Raw genomic sequence first — 17,129 nt, 5'->3', positions numbered from 1 at the left:
ATTCTTAGTGGAGATGGGGTTTCACCATGTTGGCCAGGCTGGTCTCGAACTCCTGAGCTCAGGTGATCCACCCACTTCGGCCTCCCAGAGTGCTGGGATTACAGGTGTGAGCCACCGTGCCCAGCCAGGAAAGTTATCTTTTAAGAGGAAATTTGAAGTTGGGAAAATAGGCAACCTGAAATTTCAGGTGAAATTTGGAAAACCACTTTGACACAGGCCAAAACCAGAAGTTGTCTTCATCTGGTCAAGTTAGTGTGGTTCCTTTTCCAGGACCACTCGGAAAAACTGATAGTATTTTTATGAATATTCCTGCCTTGAGGCTGGTTGCAACACCCCAAACCTGAAGGAAAGACCAGAAACGGAAGACTGTAGCTCTAGCGGAGCCCACTTCCTCTTGTTCTGGAGCATTCACTGCTAGGCTTTCCTGGTGTGAACATAGGAAACATGCCTAGCTCCCCATGGAGGGGGCTCTGAGGCCACCCGCAGAGATGGAGAAACTTGACCTGCAGCGAAGGGTGTGGGCATCTAAGCCTGCCATCCACCATAGGGGAACTATGTATTATTCCTCAGCCCTGCCTCTGCTCCTTGGCTATCCTGGAGCCCTGGACACCAAAAGAGCCTTCCCTCCCTGCTGTTACTAAGGAGACAGAACCAAGAGGGAGGAACAGCAGAGGCTGAGCCAGTCCTATGGGATCTATTTAAGCAAGGCCTTAGCAGAATAGGAATGAATGGAAGGGGACCCCGGAAGGGAAATCCCTGTTAACTTCGCACTGTCCTCACTCACCCTAGAAACTCTGATGCAGTGTTTATTTCCCAAATCTCAAGGAATGGCAAAGCGAGTTAGGCAACAACCACCAAACTCCCACCCAGTCTCAATGTCTGTCTCTTCCTGATTTTGGAAAATGGTGAGTTGGGGATCTAGAAGTTTTCTGCAATTGGGCTTTTCTCTGTTATTGGGGCTCTGGAGGTTGGGGCTCAGTAAATGAGAGTAGGTAGGTCTCTTGGGCCAAAGAGTGAGTTCAGCCCTTCGGTGGAAGGACCTAGCATTAGCACTTCCTCTCCTGTGGTACCTGTCCAGAAGGCAGCTGGAGCTATTCTCTACAGCTGCAGCAAATGTCTTCCCCACTCACTATGAACCCATCCAGGTATCTAAGTCTTCAGCATGTCAATCCTTTCCTCCTGGTGGGGGACATCCCTCTTCTCACCCTGGACCATGAATCCTACTGGCCTCAGGATACCTACTTTCATCTCCATGGTCTACTTTAATTTTCCTGGTGTGGGAAGTTGCCCCCATATTTTATTAGCATTCAGATTAAGCCCTGCTGGTTTCTCATAACATCACCTACCCTACCACTACAGTTGAGGAAATTGAGGCCAGGAACAGGAAGTGGCTCATTTTAAGTCGCCACCCTCCTTTTATTTTATGAAGGGGCTGTTTTTCAAAAGAATGTTCAAAATTTGCCTACAGTCATTTTCCAATAAACACTTTGGGGTACTTGTGATGCAATGGCTTCCTCTAATTTGCTCATGGCTAAAACACTGAAACCAGATGATATCCCTTACCCGAAAGTGACCCTCCTCAAGGGGCCACCATGCTCCTTCCCATTCCCTTCCTAGGAAAAGAAACACTTGAGCAACCACTGTGGAGAGGCAAGTTTGGAATTCTAAAAGCAGTTTTTTGAAAATGCATCAATGCAAAGGTAGCTTTTGGAAATTGATCTTGCCAGGTTATCTTAAGTCTGAATTTTCATTAAACTTTTAAAGTATAATTCTGGTCATATAATCTTGGTGAGAATTTTAAATGGCTTCTGACAAATTTTCTTAAAATTAGACAAATACGACACACACATGAACACACACACACACCCCATAGCATGCGCGCAGGCGCACACATGCGCGCACGCACACACACACACACCCACGCACACATCTCTTACTCAGTCCACATGCTACATTCCATTTTATTTTTTAGTGCATGATCTTGTAATTAAGAAGCAAATTTTCTTTGAAGAGACAATTATAGTTATAGATGGTTAGCGGGAAGCTCAAAGAATGTTCCCTAGTATTAGTCAAAGACTATTTGCATTACCACTTAGAAATCTTGCTGAAGTTTCAAAATAATAAAGTGAGAATGCTTATAAAAATGTCAAGAACACTTCTCTGCTTAAAGCTGTAATTATTTAAAGAATTGGTATGTCACTGCAAGAGTTCAGGATAGATATCTCCTCTCTGCATTCTCCTCCACATGCAATTTGTAGAATCTTGGAGCACCTGAGCTGCAACTCAGAAAGTGTACAAAATCATTTTATCTAACTCCCTTACAGTACAAATAGGGCAACCAGGTACCCAAGAAGCAAAGTGACTTGAACAAGGTCACACGAGAGCTGGGTATAGAGTTGGACCAGGGTCCCCTGGACTCCTGAATCTCAGTCCAGATGGTCCGGTGTCTCGAGCTGTTCTTATCCAACCTGAAATGAAAGGCAGTTTTTCAAAAACATACCTTCTTCATCTAATTAATCTCTAAGTAGGGAAAGACCAGGCAACTGGATGAGCAGAAACAGAAAAAGCCAAGTATATGTAAAAGTAAGTCTACTTTAGCACCGTTGAAGGGATAGGTGATATTCGTAGGAGTAGAAGCAGAACCCATGGCTTTATTTATTTTGGTAAATATGGTATTCAAATTAGTTCCTAAAGAAACTAACATATTAAATGTTTGTGTGGGAGCCCCCATTATGCAACTGACTCTGTAGGCATCACAGTGTTTCTGTAATATAAGTTATGGTATTTCCCGGAACCCTCAATCACTTTGCATTGCTCTATTTTTTTCTATTTTTTTCGTCTATCACTGTCTAGCTGAACTATCTAATTTACTCATAGTACTTATTATTTTTACTTATTTCCCCTGCTCCCCGGACCTCCACCCAACAGAATTTAAGCTCCACCAAGAAAGGAATTGTTGTGTTTGTTTGTTTACTAAAGTAACCAAGTACCTAGGATTTTTACTTGGCCCATAGTAGGTATTCACTCAATATTTGTTGAATTAATGGGTAGATGAGTGCTCCTTTACTTTCTTTATGGTTGGGAACATCTGCAGAAGGTACCTACTATATCTTGTTCCTGACCACTTACTCCTCAGATGCTTGGCTGATACCATCCTGCACTGACATCTTATTAAAATGTCTAAGGAATGGAAACACATTGCAAGTACCCTGAAATATGGTAGTGGCAGCAGAAATTCCAAAAAAGGAATAAAATAGAGAAATTTGAGATTCAATTTGAGGAACTTGAACTATTTCACGTAAGGATAGGGTAGTGTTCTGCAGTATAACTGCTGTACAGGGCCTCAGAAGACTTTCTAAGTCCTGCAAACCCTTTTCCACATCTGCACATGTCATTTATTTATGTTTTTATTTATTTATTCATCATCTGTCCATCCATCCATCCATCCATCTATCCATCCACTCATCTAGTCATCCATCTAATATATATTTCTTAAAAAGTTTCTATGCCTCCAGCATTATTTTAGGAGTTGGAAACATAACAGTGAACATGACAGCAAGGGTCCAGCTTTACTGGCGGTTATAATCTTTTTTTTTTTTGGAGAGAGGGTCTTGCTGTATCTCCCAGGCTGGAGTGCAGTGCTTGAGGTTATAATCTAACACGTGAGCCAGAAAGGGGCCTGAAAACATTAAAATTAATCATTTGAATTCATGATATGTACTCTGAAGAAAATAAAGCAAGGAAAAGAAAAAGAGATTGTTAAATTGCATAATTTCAAAGTCCCCTTCTCAGCTCTTATATTTGTAGACTCTGTGATATCAGCTCCTCATTTTAAAAAACACCCCACGGTTTAGCCACCCAAATAAAACCAAATGAAGTTCAGGAAATACTATATCTAAAAGCCCTCCATGTACGTGTTATAAAGGACCATCCCTTAACTAGGATTTGATAATTATGCTTTGACATTTTAAAAATCTTAGTTTCATTTAAGTGGTAAATATCATGTAATTGTTCACACAGTAAATATCATGTAATTATTCACATGTAAAATAACTTAAAATGCTTCTTGTTGTATTGATTCAATAAATATTATTGAGCACCTACTATATGGCAGGTACTATGTTAGGTGCTGAAGTTACCAGGAGGAATAGTCTCTTTCCTCTTGAGAGACTTACCATCTCCTATAACTTGTGAACAAATAGTGACAGGACACCAAGCCAGTGGTAAGATCTTTTAAGGTGATGTTGGCATGCAGTGCTGAGGAAGCACAGGGGAGAAAGTGACTGACACTGGGGTGGTAGGGGAAGGTCAGGGAAACTCTCAAAAAGAAGTTGACTTTTAAGCTGGGTCTTAGGGAATGAGAAGCCCTTGCATGTACTTACCATTCGTCTATATTTGAACTAAGTCAAGATGAGGCAATGTGATCATTAGTCACTCCAAAAAGGCTCTTGATATGGGAATAGTTTGTCCTGATTTGAAAAGAACAGCACGGTCATTTCGGCATGAACAAGCCACAACATGAGAGTGAAACTTTAGCAGTTCCAATGATATACAAGGAATGTGTGCAACTGTAGCTTTTTTAATAGAGAGGAAAAAAGGATAATAAGATAAAATTGAATCTCATAACAACTTTTGGAAAAAACTTGCGAAGACCATAAACATTTACCAAATGCCTTGTAATGCCCTCACTTTATTGCCATTGAGAAAATTAAAGCCTCTGCCAGAAGTGGCCTGCTGAGGTCTTAGCTCCATATGCCCTGGTAACAACCTCAGTGTCATTCTAGTGAATGAGTCAGAGTCCACCATGCAGTGGGTCCTGCCCAGTGTGTCTGTGATGGCTAGAGGAGGGGAGCTGGCCAAGAGGCCTTGGGCAGACACAAAGTATTCCTTCTACTCTAAAATCCTAGCTCAGGTTCAGTCATAAAATTATGACCCTTGTGTGTACCGGTATGGACATTAGGTCATTTAGTTCTCACAATGGGCTGTGAAATAGGATCATCTTTTCTTCCCTTTATGGACAAGGGAGCTGAGGGAAGGACAGGTGAAATAACTTCTCTCATTTGTAGAGTTGGACAGTTGTAGAGGTAAAACCTTATGGTTTTATGAATATCAAAAAAAGATTAGTTGGGAATTTCAGAAATGATGCAAATGAGGAATTATTGACATCTGTTTGCAACAACATGGCAGAGCATTTATGCAGAGAAACATTCCCAGTGCAGGAAACACAAAGATAGATCAAGTAGCTGTGTCAAAGCATGACTGAGCGCATGGTAAAGTATGAAAAACACTGGGAGAAGAAAAAAAAAACACAAGAAAGTATGATTCCAGAAGTATAAACAAGTTCAGATTGCCTGATGAAATGTGAAGATCTTAGATTCTTAGTTTTAATGGGCCAGGAAGGCAGAGCATAGGAGACAAAGTCCAGGGCTTGAGCACAGTGAGATGTGACAATAGGAATTATTGCAAAGAAAAAAAAAAAAAAAGAATTCCCTAAGATGCCCAAAATGTGTGACCTAAAATAAAAGTTGCTCCACAGAGGGACCGTTTTAGCTTGATTCTTGGTGGAGTGGCCAGGCAGGTGTGAAAGGGATGGTAATATGTCTCCTTTGAGAATTTCCAACCACAAACCTACCTATGTCCATATTGGTGCTGGAATTCACTCTACCACTTTGGACCAAAAGCCCCAAAGTAAAAAATTTAGTTTAATGTGCCCCTGGTCAGTATTTTCCAATGGATTGTTTAGTTGGGGTTCTACAGTGAGAAAATAGAAGGAAAGCAAGATTTGAAGAGATAATAGATGAGAACTTTGCAAAATTGGCGAAAAACACAAGTCTCAGTAGATTCAATAAATATCAAGATTAATAAAAAAAATCCACTTCTGAAATTTCGGAATAACCAAGATGAAGAAAATATCTTAAAAACAAATAGAAAAAAAAATCATCCAAGAACTGACAGCTTGGCAGCTGACTTCTTAACAGTCTCTTTCTGCTGAAGGCCAATGTGAATTACTCCTACAAGTGTGATGACTTTCTTCATCTACTGTTCTCTTGGTATGGGAACCGGAAGTGGCCAGTTACAGCCAGAGCTTAAAAGTTCAATGAAACAGACTCTCATTGTGTTCTCCAGTGGGAGTATTTACTGTCTGTGAAGGAGCAGGATTTTCTAGATCTGCAGAGCCTAGGACTTCAGGGATGAGAAGCATAAATCCCCAACTGGGTCACTGGGGATCATGATAATTGTATCTACTCTGCTTCCACCCCTTGGCTCCTAGACCCATGTATTCTACCTGTGGAGGAGTTATTACTGCATAAAGATTATTGACTTAGAGTATAGACCACCTCCTGGAGGATGGTGCCCCATCCTAGCAAGGTCCCCTCTCCGAGATGGCACTATGCTGCATCTTCAAGAGGCCATTCTGCCATTCATTCTGTCAGACTGGTGGGGTGAGGGTGAGATGGATTGTGAAAGAAACAGTGGATTCCCTTGGTGCCCACTGCCGTACTCCCTTTGCTGGAAAATGGGGCCTTTGATCTGAAACAATGTTGTACAGGATCCTATGTTGGAGACATTCACTTCACGAATTTCATTATAAAAAAATTGACCTATTATCTATTCATTTCAGTTATGCTTCCCAGATTTCCACAGTTAACTTTCTCTTGATAAGGAATAAACATTTTCTTTTCCTCATGGCTCTGTTTGGAATTTAGAATGAATTCTCATACCTGTCAGATTTTTGTTAATGCAGGACTGAAACAAATTTGTAGCAGGAATGTTTAATGCCAAGCAAGCCACGGAATCCATCTGACATTTATTTGTAACATTTGTTAGTAGTATATTTAGCACCTCAATTTTGCAAATAGGGAAGTTATTTTATATGCAATGAGGTGGGAGTAATTGTGATGTTTATGAGACCTGTGGATTTTTTTTTTTTTTTTGACACTGGAGTGGACAACAGCAGAAAAGGATTTACTCCAAAGTTGCCAAAGCTGAAGCTTCAGAGCAGCTCACTTGCTCAAGCCCCTTTCATGTGGTCATGTGATTTTGTAATATTTTTGAAGAAAGAGATTTGCGATTTGTTGTGATTTTCTTTCTCATTCCAAATCCTCACTTTTATAATTTACATTGTAGTCATAATTTAGTGTTCTTTTTCTTAAAGGATAAACCCGCCCCCCAATTCATTGTCTAAAAACTGGGTCTACCCTTTAACCAAAATGAGCAGGAAGTTGCTCCCTGCTTAAACGTAAATATTTGCACTCCACTAAGAGACAGACAAGTTAGTGCTTATTAGCCTGAGACTGCCTAGGCTGAGTTTTTGAATGTTAACATGTTTCCAGGCCCTGGCTGACTCTGCTTATGTAATGGCTTGTCTTCTGAATTAGAAGTGTGCCGCTAATGACTTACATATGAACAGTATAAATACCTACATCATTACAGTTTGAGTCTCTGAATAACTTACAAGTTAGTTATTATAGATGAGGAAATGAGAATTAGATAATTTAAATAACACACTCGATGTCTCAGGGTCGGAGGTGGCAGCTGTAACTCACAATTAGCCTCTGATGTCTCACCCACGGACCTTGCTGCTCTGTCATAGTGTCCTCTCAGTGGAATATTTATCCAGATGTCTATGACAATTTTTTTTCCTATTAAAATGGCACCATTATGGGCATGGCTATGTTCCAACTATTATTTATGAATATTGAAATTTGAATTTTATATAACTTTCAAACGCCATAACATATTATTCTTCGGTTGTTTTTTGCAACCATTTTAAAAAGTAAACACCATTATGAGTTCATGGGCTGTACAAACGAAACAATGAAACAAAGCTCTAGTTTGCTGACCCCTGAAATAGAGGAATGGTCACCAGAAAGAGACAAACTGTCTTTTAGGCTAGCAAGACAGTGATATAACTGAAGATATCACCACCTCTAAAATATGAACATGCCAATCTGATGGGGATCTGGTCAACCAAAGCAACCACAGAAGAAAAGACAAAGGAGAGTCCCAAGGCTATCATGAGCAGTGCCAGTTCCTCCATGACTTAGGGAAGGTCATCTTAGCCAGTGGAGGTCCCATATTGAGACTATTTTTAAGAGTTCATTTTGTAATGGGAAAGGATATCTCAAGTGACATTAGTTGAATATTTCTTTCTTTTTTGTTTGTTTGGTTGGTTGTTTTTGGAGACAGAATCTAACTCTGTCGCCCAGGCTGGAGTGCAGTGGCACAATCTCAGCTCACTGCAACCTCCACCTCCTGGGTTCAGGCGATTCTCATGGCTCAGCCTCCCAAGTAGCTGGGATTTCAGGCACATTAACCACGTCTGGCTAATTTTTATATTTTTAGTAGAGACGGGGTTTCACCATACACATTTTTTAATTAAAAAAGAAATCTTCGGCCCAGCGTGGTGGCTCACACCTGTAATCCCAGCACTTTGGGAGATCGAGGCAGATGGATAACTTGAGGTCAGGAGTTCGAGACCAGCCTGGCCAACATGGCGAAACCCTGTCTCTACTAAAAATACTAAAATTAGCCAGGTGTGGTAGTGGGCACCTGTAGTCCCAGCTACTTGGGTGACTGAGGCACAAGAATTGTTTGAACCCGGGAGGTGGGGGTTGCAGTGAGCAGAGATCGTACCACTGTACTCCAGCCTCAGTGACAGAGTGGGACTCTGTCTCCAAAAAAAAAAAAACTTCAAAAAGCGCATATATACATATATGTGTGTGTGTGTGTGTGTGTATATATATATATATATACACACACATATATATAATACACTTAGCAAAGTAAACGTATTTATAAATATATATTATAAATAAAATTATCTGGTTGACTCTTATCTTAACCACTTGCTCCTCTATGAACTTGTTAAATTTTTTTACTCTTCTGTGTTTCTCATACCTATCATAATGAGTTACTTTGAGAAATAAATGAGAAAATGGATATGAAATATCTAGTGCATAGGAAATACGTAGTATATAGAAAGTGCTACATAATAACTCTCACTATATTTGCTGTTTACATTACATAAAAACATATGCATGTATACATACACATATATGATACGTTACGTATCATATATCTATAAACACACACCAAGGAAATATGTCATAATAGAGATCCTTCTATATCTGCTGTTTTGAAATTTGCTTTTTTCCCTTCATATATTATGGATAGCCAGGGAACAATACAGAACTGGGGTTAAAAGCATGGCTTCTGCTATCTGACTACTTGGGGTTGAGTTGTGGCTTCATCATCATAAGAACTTGGGTAAGTGACTTCAATTCTCTAGGTTGTAGATCTTTTCCTGGAATATGATGATAAAAGCATTACCTACTACATAGAGGTGCTGTGGGGATTAAACGAGAAAATATATGTAATAGCACACTGCAAATTCAAGTAAATAAATACAAGTCATTAGCATAAAGCCCAGCTTATAGTAAATGATCATATATTATTCTAAAAATGAAAATGTATTATTTAAGTAAAATTATAATGACCTAGAGTATTTATTCAGCTTTCTCATAAAATTCTTAGCATGGCAGCAAGAGAGAACACATGGGAAAAATATGTTTGAGGAGGAAAAAAGAGTGATTAATTTGCCTCCTGTAGAAAGGACAATAGAACATCTACAAAGTAAGGCTGTGACTTAACAGTTAGGATAATGCTTTGCATTTGTGCGGCATCATTAATAAAGCAGTTTTCAGAAACCTTTTGGAAGACACTTCTAAGCACGAATCTGGATCTTCTCCAGATTACTGTGATAATTAGGCTGTGGATATGCTTTCAAAATGTGACTCAAGACCTATTTTAACCGTAAATTATTCACTTTTTAAAAGATCTCTCTGATATATGGAATTTCCTTCAAGACAAGACCATAACTTTCTATGTTATTTATGGAATCACCTTTGAAATATAGGATGGATTGATTTTTTGCAGTTTTATTTATGTTGTATATAAGGCAATGTGAGTTAATTTCAGAAAATGTAAGTGTCTGGAGACACGTGAAAAAGGAAGGTGTCAGTGCCATCAAAAGAGCTTGTCGAAAGGTAAAAATTTAAATTATTGATTGGTTTTTACGTTTGTGTCTGTGACATCAGGGAGTTTCTGCAACCAGATTTCCAGTGAGATGAATTAATCAGCTAATGCTGCAGAGACACTAAATGAGATGACAGGCAGCTCCCACAAAGCAGATGCTCAATTAATGTGAGTCACAATCAATTATACTATTTATTGAGGGTTTTCCCTGTGCCAGCAGCTTCTAGTTGCTGTCTTATTTAATTTAAATCCACAAAACCCTATCAGGAAGGTAATGTGATCACAGTGTTACAAGTGAGAAAATCCAAACTCAAAATAGTTCCATTCAGAGACTACACAGACTGAAAACGATTGGATGAGTTCTGCTCTTTTTTTTCATGAGTCATATTTCTTCATTCTTATTTAAAAAGAAGATTTCTTAGGCTGGGAGTGGTGGCTCATGCCTGTAATCCCAGTGTTTTGGGAGAGTGAGGCAGGAGGATTGCTTAAGACTAGGAGTTGGAGGCTGCAGTGAGCCATGATTGCACCGCACTCCAGTCTGAGTGATAAAGTGAGATCCCAACTCTTAAACACACACACACACACACACACACACACACACACATATACACCCCATACACAAAAAGTTTTCCCTCCTTTCCTTTCTTCTTTCTTTCCTTTAGCAAGTGAACCACCCTATGGATAAAATACAAAACCTTGCTCTCTTAATGTATGAGTATGTGCCTGTGTGTGTGCTTTTGTACAGAGGTACTTGTTCTTCTTCAGTGAAAAGACCAACCCCATAATAAGTCTGATGAGTAAATTGATCTCTATTAAAAGTATTTTGAAATACACATTTTCTTCAAAGAGAGATGATGGGAGGGAATTACATATAAACTTCACTGCATGCCATATTTATTACGTCAAAGATGTTTTTTAAATTATACTGCTTATGGGAGAAAATTACATGTAAACTTCACAGAATGTCATCTTTATTATGTCAAATATGTTTTCCAAATTGTAATGCTTTTTAGAGTCTGCTATATATTATAGTTACGTAGTCATTCATCTGCCTACTTGAAGGAGGAGTGAGCTCCTTAATGTCAAAAATGATGCCTAAATCTCCTTTTACCAATTCCAGTATTAAGTTGAAATGAAAAAGATTTTGAAAAGATAATGACCTTATTGATAATTCACTGGATTACAACTCCAACTGATACATTATTCTGAGTTCTTCTGTGGGTGTACAGCCTCAATAATGCCCTGCTAAGATTGTAGAGAACATAGATATGGTGAGGAAAATGCTTCTTTCAAGAGAAGGAAATATGAACATTCAGGTGTAGATTGTTGAGGTGGAAAAAGCTCATCCACATGGAATAGGGCAAAATTTGGCACACACTGAGGCAGTAGAAAGCACTGTTCTGAAGCTAGGAGTACTAGGTTTTGGTATCAACTTTACTAACTAGTCATGAAACTTTAGACTATTTAGCTTTGCTGGGTTTTGATATTATTTGTGAAACAAACAAGCAAGCAAACAAAGTGCTGAGTTCACAGAGCAGGGCTGACTGAATCTGCCTACTCAGTCATTAAGATACAGAATAAGTAGTCCATTTTCTACCTTTCTAATCACCAGGGAAAAAATTACCAGTGAAAACATAATTCATATAAAGACAGATTTTTAATGAAGCAAATAAACATTTAAATCACAAACTCTTGAAAAATTATCAAGTGAGAACTAATGTATTTTACAAGCATAAACATAAAAGAGCCAAGATTCTCTCTTTAAGAAACAAAGACTTTCAGATTAGACTCCACCCCCTAATTCAAGTATATCTTATCTAAAAGAGATACGTCTAAACCATATAATGCAGAATGATAAAAATAAAAGGATGGGCAGGATATAACAGGAAAGGGCAATTAAAAGAAAAGCAAGAATTGTGATAGCAACACAAAATAGAGTAAAAGTAGAGAGAAGAATAATTGGAAAAAACAAACTCAAGGAGAAGTGGAAAAATAGATCAATAGCCAGGAAAAAAAGTGATCAAATTAGTAAACATAAGAATACTATTCATCTAAACATTTTTACAAATTTTAAACTTAAATAATTTTTTTACTTACATATTTTTGCTTGTGATTTGTTTCTTAATAGGCTTTTTAAAAAACCGATTTTAGGTTCACCTCAAAACTGAACAGAAGGCACAGAGATTTCTCATAGATCCCCTGCTCCAACACATGCATAGCTTCCTCTATTATCAATATCCCTCACCAGAGTGGTACATTTGATGAACCTATATTGATATATCCTCATTACTCCAAATTCATAGTTTACATTAGGGGTCACTTTTGGTGTTGTATGTTCTCTGGGTTTGTACACATTTATAATGACATGTATCCACATTATAGTATCATACAAAGTAGTTTTATTTCCTTATTCACTGTGCTCTAATTGTTCATTTCTTTCTCCCTCCCAACACCTAGCAGTAACTGATCTTTTTACTATGCCTTTTCCAGAATGTCATGTCCTTGAAATTATACAGTATATAGACTTTTCAGACTGACTTCATTCACCTAGAAATATGCATTTAAGTTTCCTCCATGTCTTTTCATGAATTGATAGTTCATTTCTTTTTAGTGCTGAGTAATACTTCATTGTCTGGATGTACTACAGTTTATGTATCCATTTACCTACTGAAGAACATCTTGGCTGCTTCCAAGTTTTGACAATTATGAATAAAGGTGCCATAAAACTTCCGTGTGCAGGTTTTTATATAGACATACATTTTTAACTCCTTTGAGTAAATAGATGGAGAGATATTCAATGTTCATGGATAAGAAGACTTAATATTGTCAAGATGTCAGTTTTTTCCAACTTAATCTATAGATTGAATGCAATCCAAATTAAAATCTCAGCAAGTTATCTTATGGATGTTGACAAACTGATTCTAAAGTTTATATGAAGATTTTAAAAAACACCTAGGATAGCCAACACAGTACTGAAGGAGAAGAACAAAGTTGTAGGACTGACCCTACTTGACTTCAAAACTTACCATAAAGCTACGGTAATCAGGAATGCGTGATATTGTTGAAAGAACAAACAAACAGATCAGTGGAACAGAATAGAGACCAGAGACCAGAAATAAATCCACACAAATATAGTTCATTGGATTTTGACAAAAAGCAAAAGCAATAAATACAATGGAGAAAAGATAGTCTTTTTAACAAGTGGGTGCTAGGACAACTAGATATTCACATTAAAAAAAATCTGGACACAGAATTTGCACCCTTCAGAAAAATTAACTCAAAATAGATCACAGACTTAAATGTAAAATGCAGAACTATGAAACCTCTAGAAGGCAAAATGGGAAAAAATTGAGATGACCTTGAATATGGGGATGACTTTTTAGGTATGACAGCAAAGGCACAATGAATGAAAGAAACAGTTAATAAACTGGATTTATTAAAATCTAAAAATTTCTTCTCTGTGAAAGACATTGTCAAGAAAATAAAGAAGCAACAGACTGGGAGAAAATGTTTGCAAAAAACATATCTGATAAAGGACTATTATTTAAAATATAAACAGAATTCTCAAAACTCAGCAATAGAAAACAACCAAATTAAAAAATGGGCCAAAGACCTAAACACATATCTCACCAAAAAAAAAAAAAAGATATACAAATGGGAAGTTAGCATATTAAAAGATGATCTATCTCATGTCATCAAGGAAATGCAACTTAAAACAACAATGAAATACCACTTCACACCTATTAGGATGGCCCAAATCCAGAACACGGACAATGCCAAATGCTAGAAGGTGAAGATACCAGAACTCTTATTCATTGCAGATGAGAATGCAAAATGGCACAGCCACTTTTGAAGACAGTTTGGTGGTTTCTTATAAAACTAAGCATATTCTTATATATGACCTAGCAATTGTGCTCCTTTGTATTTACCCAAAGGACTTTAAACTTTTAAAAAACAAATACCAGAAAACATGCCTCAAAACCTAAGAGATATAAAACTCAACTTTATAAAATAGCATAATTATAATATTGAAACCTAGACAAAAATAACAGACACCAAAGAATTCAACCTATCTCACGTATAAATAAAATTTTAAAAATTTTCCATACACAAAACACTAGGAAAATAAATCCAGCAGAATATTAAAGGAACCATACATAATGTCCAATTTGAGTTTTTGAAAGGAATGTAAGAATAATTTTATATTAGAAAAATGGTTGGGAGGTAGGCAGGAAAGAGTGTGGTATTTGGGTGGCTAGGGAGAGTTCACATGTAAGGTGCAGGTGGAAAAGCCCGTGGAGTAACTGATAGATGGAACCGGTGAGAATTTACTTGGATAACGTCACTGAGTCATTGAAACTAACTTGACTAAACATCTCTTGGACATCATGGCATCGGCCTAACAACATGTCAATCATTGAACCAAAGAGGAGAAAATGATATATGGGCATTTCTGTGATTTCCCCTAAGTCAGAGAAAGATAACATTCATCTTTGATTTCTGATGTTAAAAAGCCTTTATTAACTGAAAATAGAATATGCCAATTTGATTAGAGATAGATGGATAAGCAATGGCTAGAACTTGATAGTGGGAAGATGGAAAGCCAACTCATGCTATTCAGAGAATTTAAATTGAATCCAACCCATTACCACTGCTCCATATTGGGTGGTGAAAAAAGGCACAGTAAACCTTTTCATTGTGAAAGTCTAAATGTTGAGTAAGTAAAGATATAGCAGGCCAGTTAAACTTGATTTGTTCTCTGCCCAACATTAATCATTTGCCCTGAATCTCTACTGAGTCCACCATACATCCAGTTTTTAATCCTAGGAACCTGAAGTGATCACAGAGTTACTAGGAAAACTTCCTTTGCTACTTAATGTTTCTTTATGCATCTTATTATAAACTTCATTTTGAAGTCATCTATGCATGGTTCATCCTTGAAACCTAAAAACATCTATTATTTTTTACATTTGGCAATAATCTTAAGTATGGCCTATATTATGGACTGAATTGGGTCCTCAAAAAACTGAAACAAAACAAAACAACAATAAAAACCTCTTCAAATCCTAATGCCCCCAGTACCTATGAATGTGACCTTGTTTAGAAATAGGATCTTTGCAGATATAATCCCATTAAAATGAGTTCATATGAGATTAGGGTGGGCCCTAACCCAAGGACTGGTATTCTTATAAAATTAGGAAAATTTGAGCATGCAGACATGCTGAGGAAAGACAGCCATGTGAAGGCAGGCATAGACAGCCTCTGTCACAAGTCTGGGAATGACTGGGGCTACTAGAAGCTGGAAGATACTAGGCAGAATTCTTCCTAGAGGCTTTGGAGCAAGCATGCCCTCTTTAACTGTCTGACGCTTTAACAGTTAAAGAGTCATCTTATAGGCATGTGTTATATAATTTATTATATTTTAATATTTTCTGTATCACTTAGAGGCTAGGTTTTCTAGGCTTTTCTTCTGAGCATTCAGCAGACAATTAACTATCACTTTCCATCTTCCCACTATCAAATTGTAGCCATTGCTTATCTATCTCTAGTTAAATTGGCATACATATCCTAACCCAGTGTGCCCTGCAGTGTTATGGCACCCCTGGGAAACGAATAATGGGTGTGGGTATGTTCACACTTGTAAGTGTTGCTTTTCTTACCATGACTTGTAATTCTCAAAACCACATTAATAAAATTATCCAAAGAAATGTTTTAGTAGAAACCCAATTTCTATTATTTTAAATTAAAAATCATGCCATTAGTCATTTTCCAGATCAGGAAGAGATGTTACTGCAAAATCAAGTAACAAGAGGATATGGTGTGTTAGAGAAGGTTGGGAATCATTATTAATTGCTTTAAAAATTCTAAAAACTGACTGTCAGTCCTAGTTATCAATCCATAATATAATAATATATATGTCTAATAACAATATATTTTAAAATTCTGTCCTGTTATTCATATATCTATAATTTATAGAGCTTTTATTGGGTTCTTAGCAGCTCATGAATCAAGCAAAAATCCTTCTTTAAAGGAACTTAGAGTCTTTCAGGGAAGCAAAGACGTTTAGCTAAAAAGTATCTTACCTGATAACAAAAACGGGAGGGGAGAGTAGAGTAAATTACTCTGAAGTTCAAAGGGGAGAGAGAGATCACTTTCAGTAGGAATGAGGGATTGCTTTCACTAGGCACAGAAGACATGAAGGAAAGGTGAGTCAGTCCTCGAAGTTGAACACAAGAGCAAGACTATTGCAGGGGAAGGGGCAGGTAAGCCAAAAGACAGAGTTGGCAATCATACAAGTCAACTATGACTTGAAGAACAGCAAGTAGAGCTACTCCTAACAGGTCTACAGCTATGCTGTTCCATTAAAACATCCATTAAGATCAAGTAAAATCAGTGAGTTATCTAGATAATATCATCATCAGGATCAAGGACTCCAGAGATATAAAAGCTGGTGGAGTGAATTTAAGTAGAAAATTTGCTTTCATGACTCATAAGATAATATTTGGGAGAAGAGTAGCGTTGTAATTGTGTGTATACAGTGGCTTGGGATGGTGTGTGTGCAGTGGGTAGGAATGACAAGTGTGAAGTGGGTTGGAATGGAGTGTGTGAAGTGGGTTGGGATGGTGTGTGTGCTGTGTGTTGGGATGGTGTGTGTGCAGTGGGTTGGGATGGTGTTATGTAGTGTGTTGGGATGGTGTGTGTGCTGTGTGTTGGGATGGTGTGTGTGCAGTGGGTTGGGATGGTGTTATGTAGTGTGTTGGGATGGTGTGTGTGCTGTGTGTTGGGATGGTGTGTGTGCAGTGGGTTGGGCATGGTGTTATGTAGTGTGTTGGGATGGTGTGTGTGCTGTGTGTTGGGATGGTGTGTGTGCAGTGGGTTGGGATAGTGTGTGTCCAGTGGGTTGGGATGGTGTTATGTAGTGGGTTGGGATGGTGTGTGTGCAGTGTGTTGGGATGGTGTGTGTGCAGTGGGTTGGGATGGTGTTATGTAGTGTGTTGGGGTGGTGTGTGTGTAGTGTGTTGGGATGGTATGTGTGCAGTGTGTTGTGATGGTGTGTGTGCAGTGGGTTGGGGTGGTATATATGCAGTGTG

General features: G+C 38.1%; 2 long non-coding RNA genes across 5 annotated transcripts in view; both read left to right on the top strand.

Moving 5' to 3' along the window:
* The window catches only part of LOC105376214 (uncharacterized), a 401,533-nt gene that overhangs the window by 179,860 nt on the left and 204,544 nt on the right, over nt 1–17,129 (top strand). The window lies entirely within an intron of this gene.
* LOC105376212 (uncharacterized) overlaps nt 1–17,129 on the top strand; it is a 37,257-nt gene that overhangs the window by 17,815 nt on the left and 2,313 nt on the right. The gene's annotated exons all lie outside the window — the stretch shown is intronic.

Source organism: Homo sapiens, chromosome 9 (genome assembly GCF_000001405.40).
Source record: "Homo sapiens chromosome 9, GRCh38.p14 Primary Assembly".
NCBI classification, from domain to species: domain Eukaryota; kingdom Metazoa; phylum Chordata; class Mammalia; order Primates; family Hominidae; genus Homo; species Homo sapiens.
The sequence above is the reverse complement of the archived record's forward strand: the minus strand, read 5'-3'. Positions and strand labels throughout refer to the sequence as shown.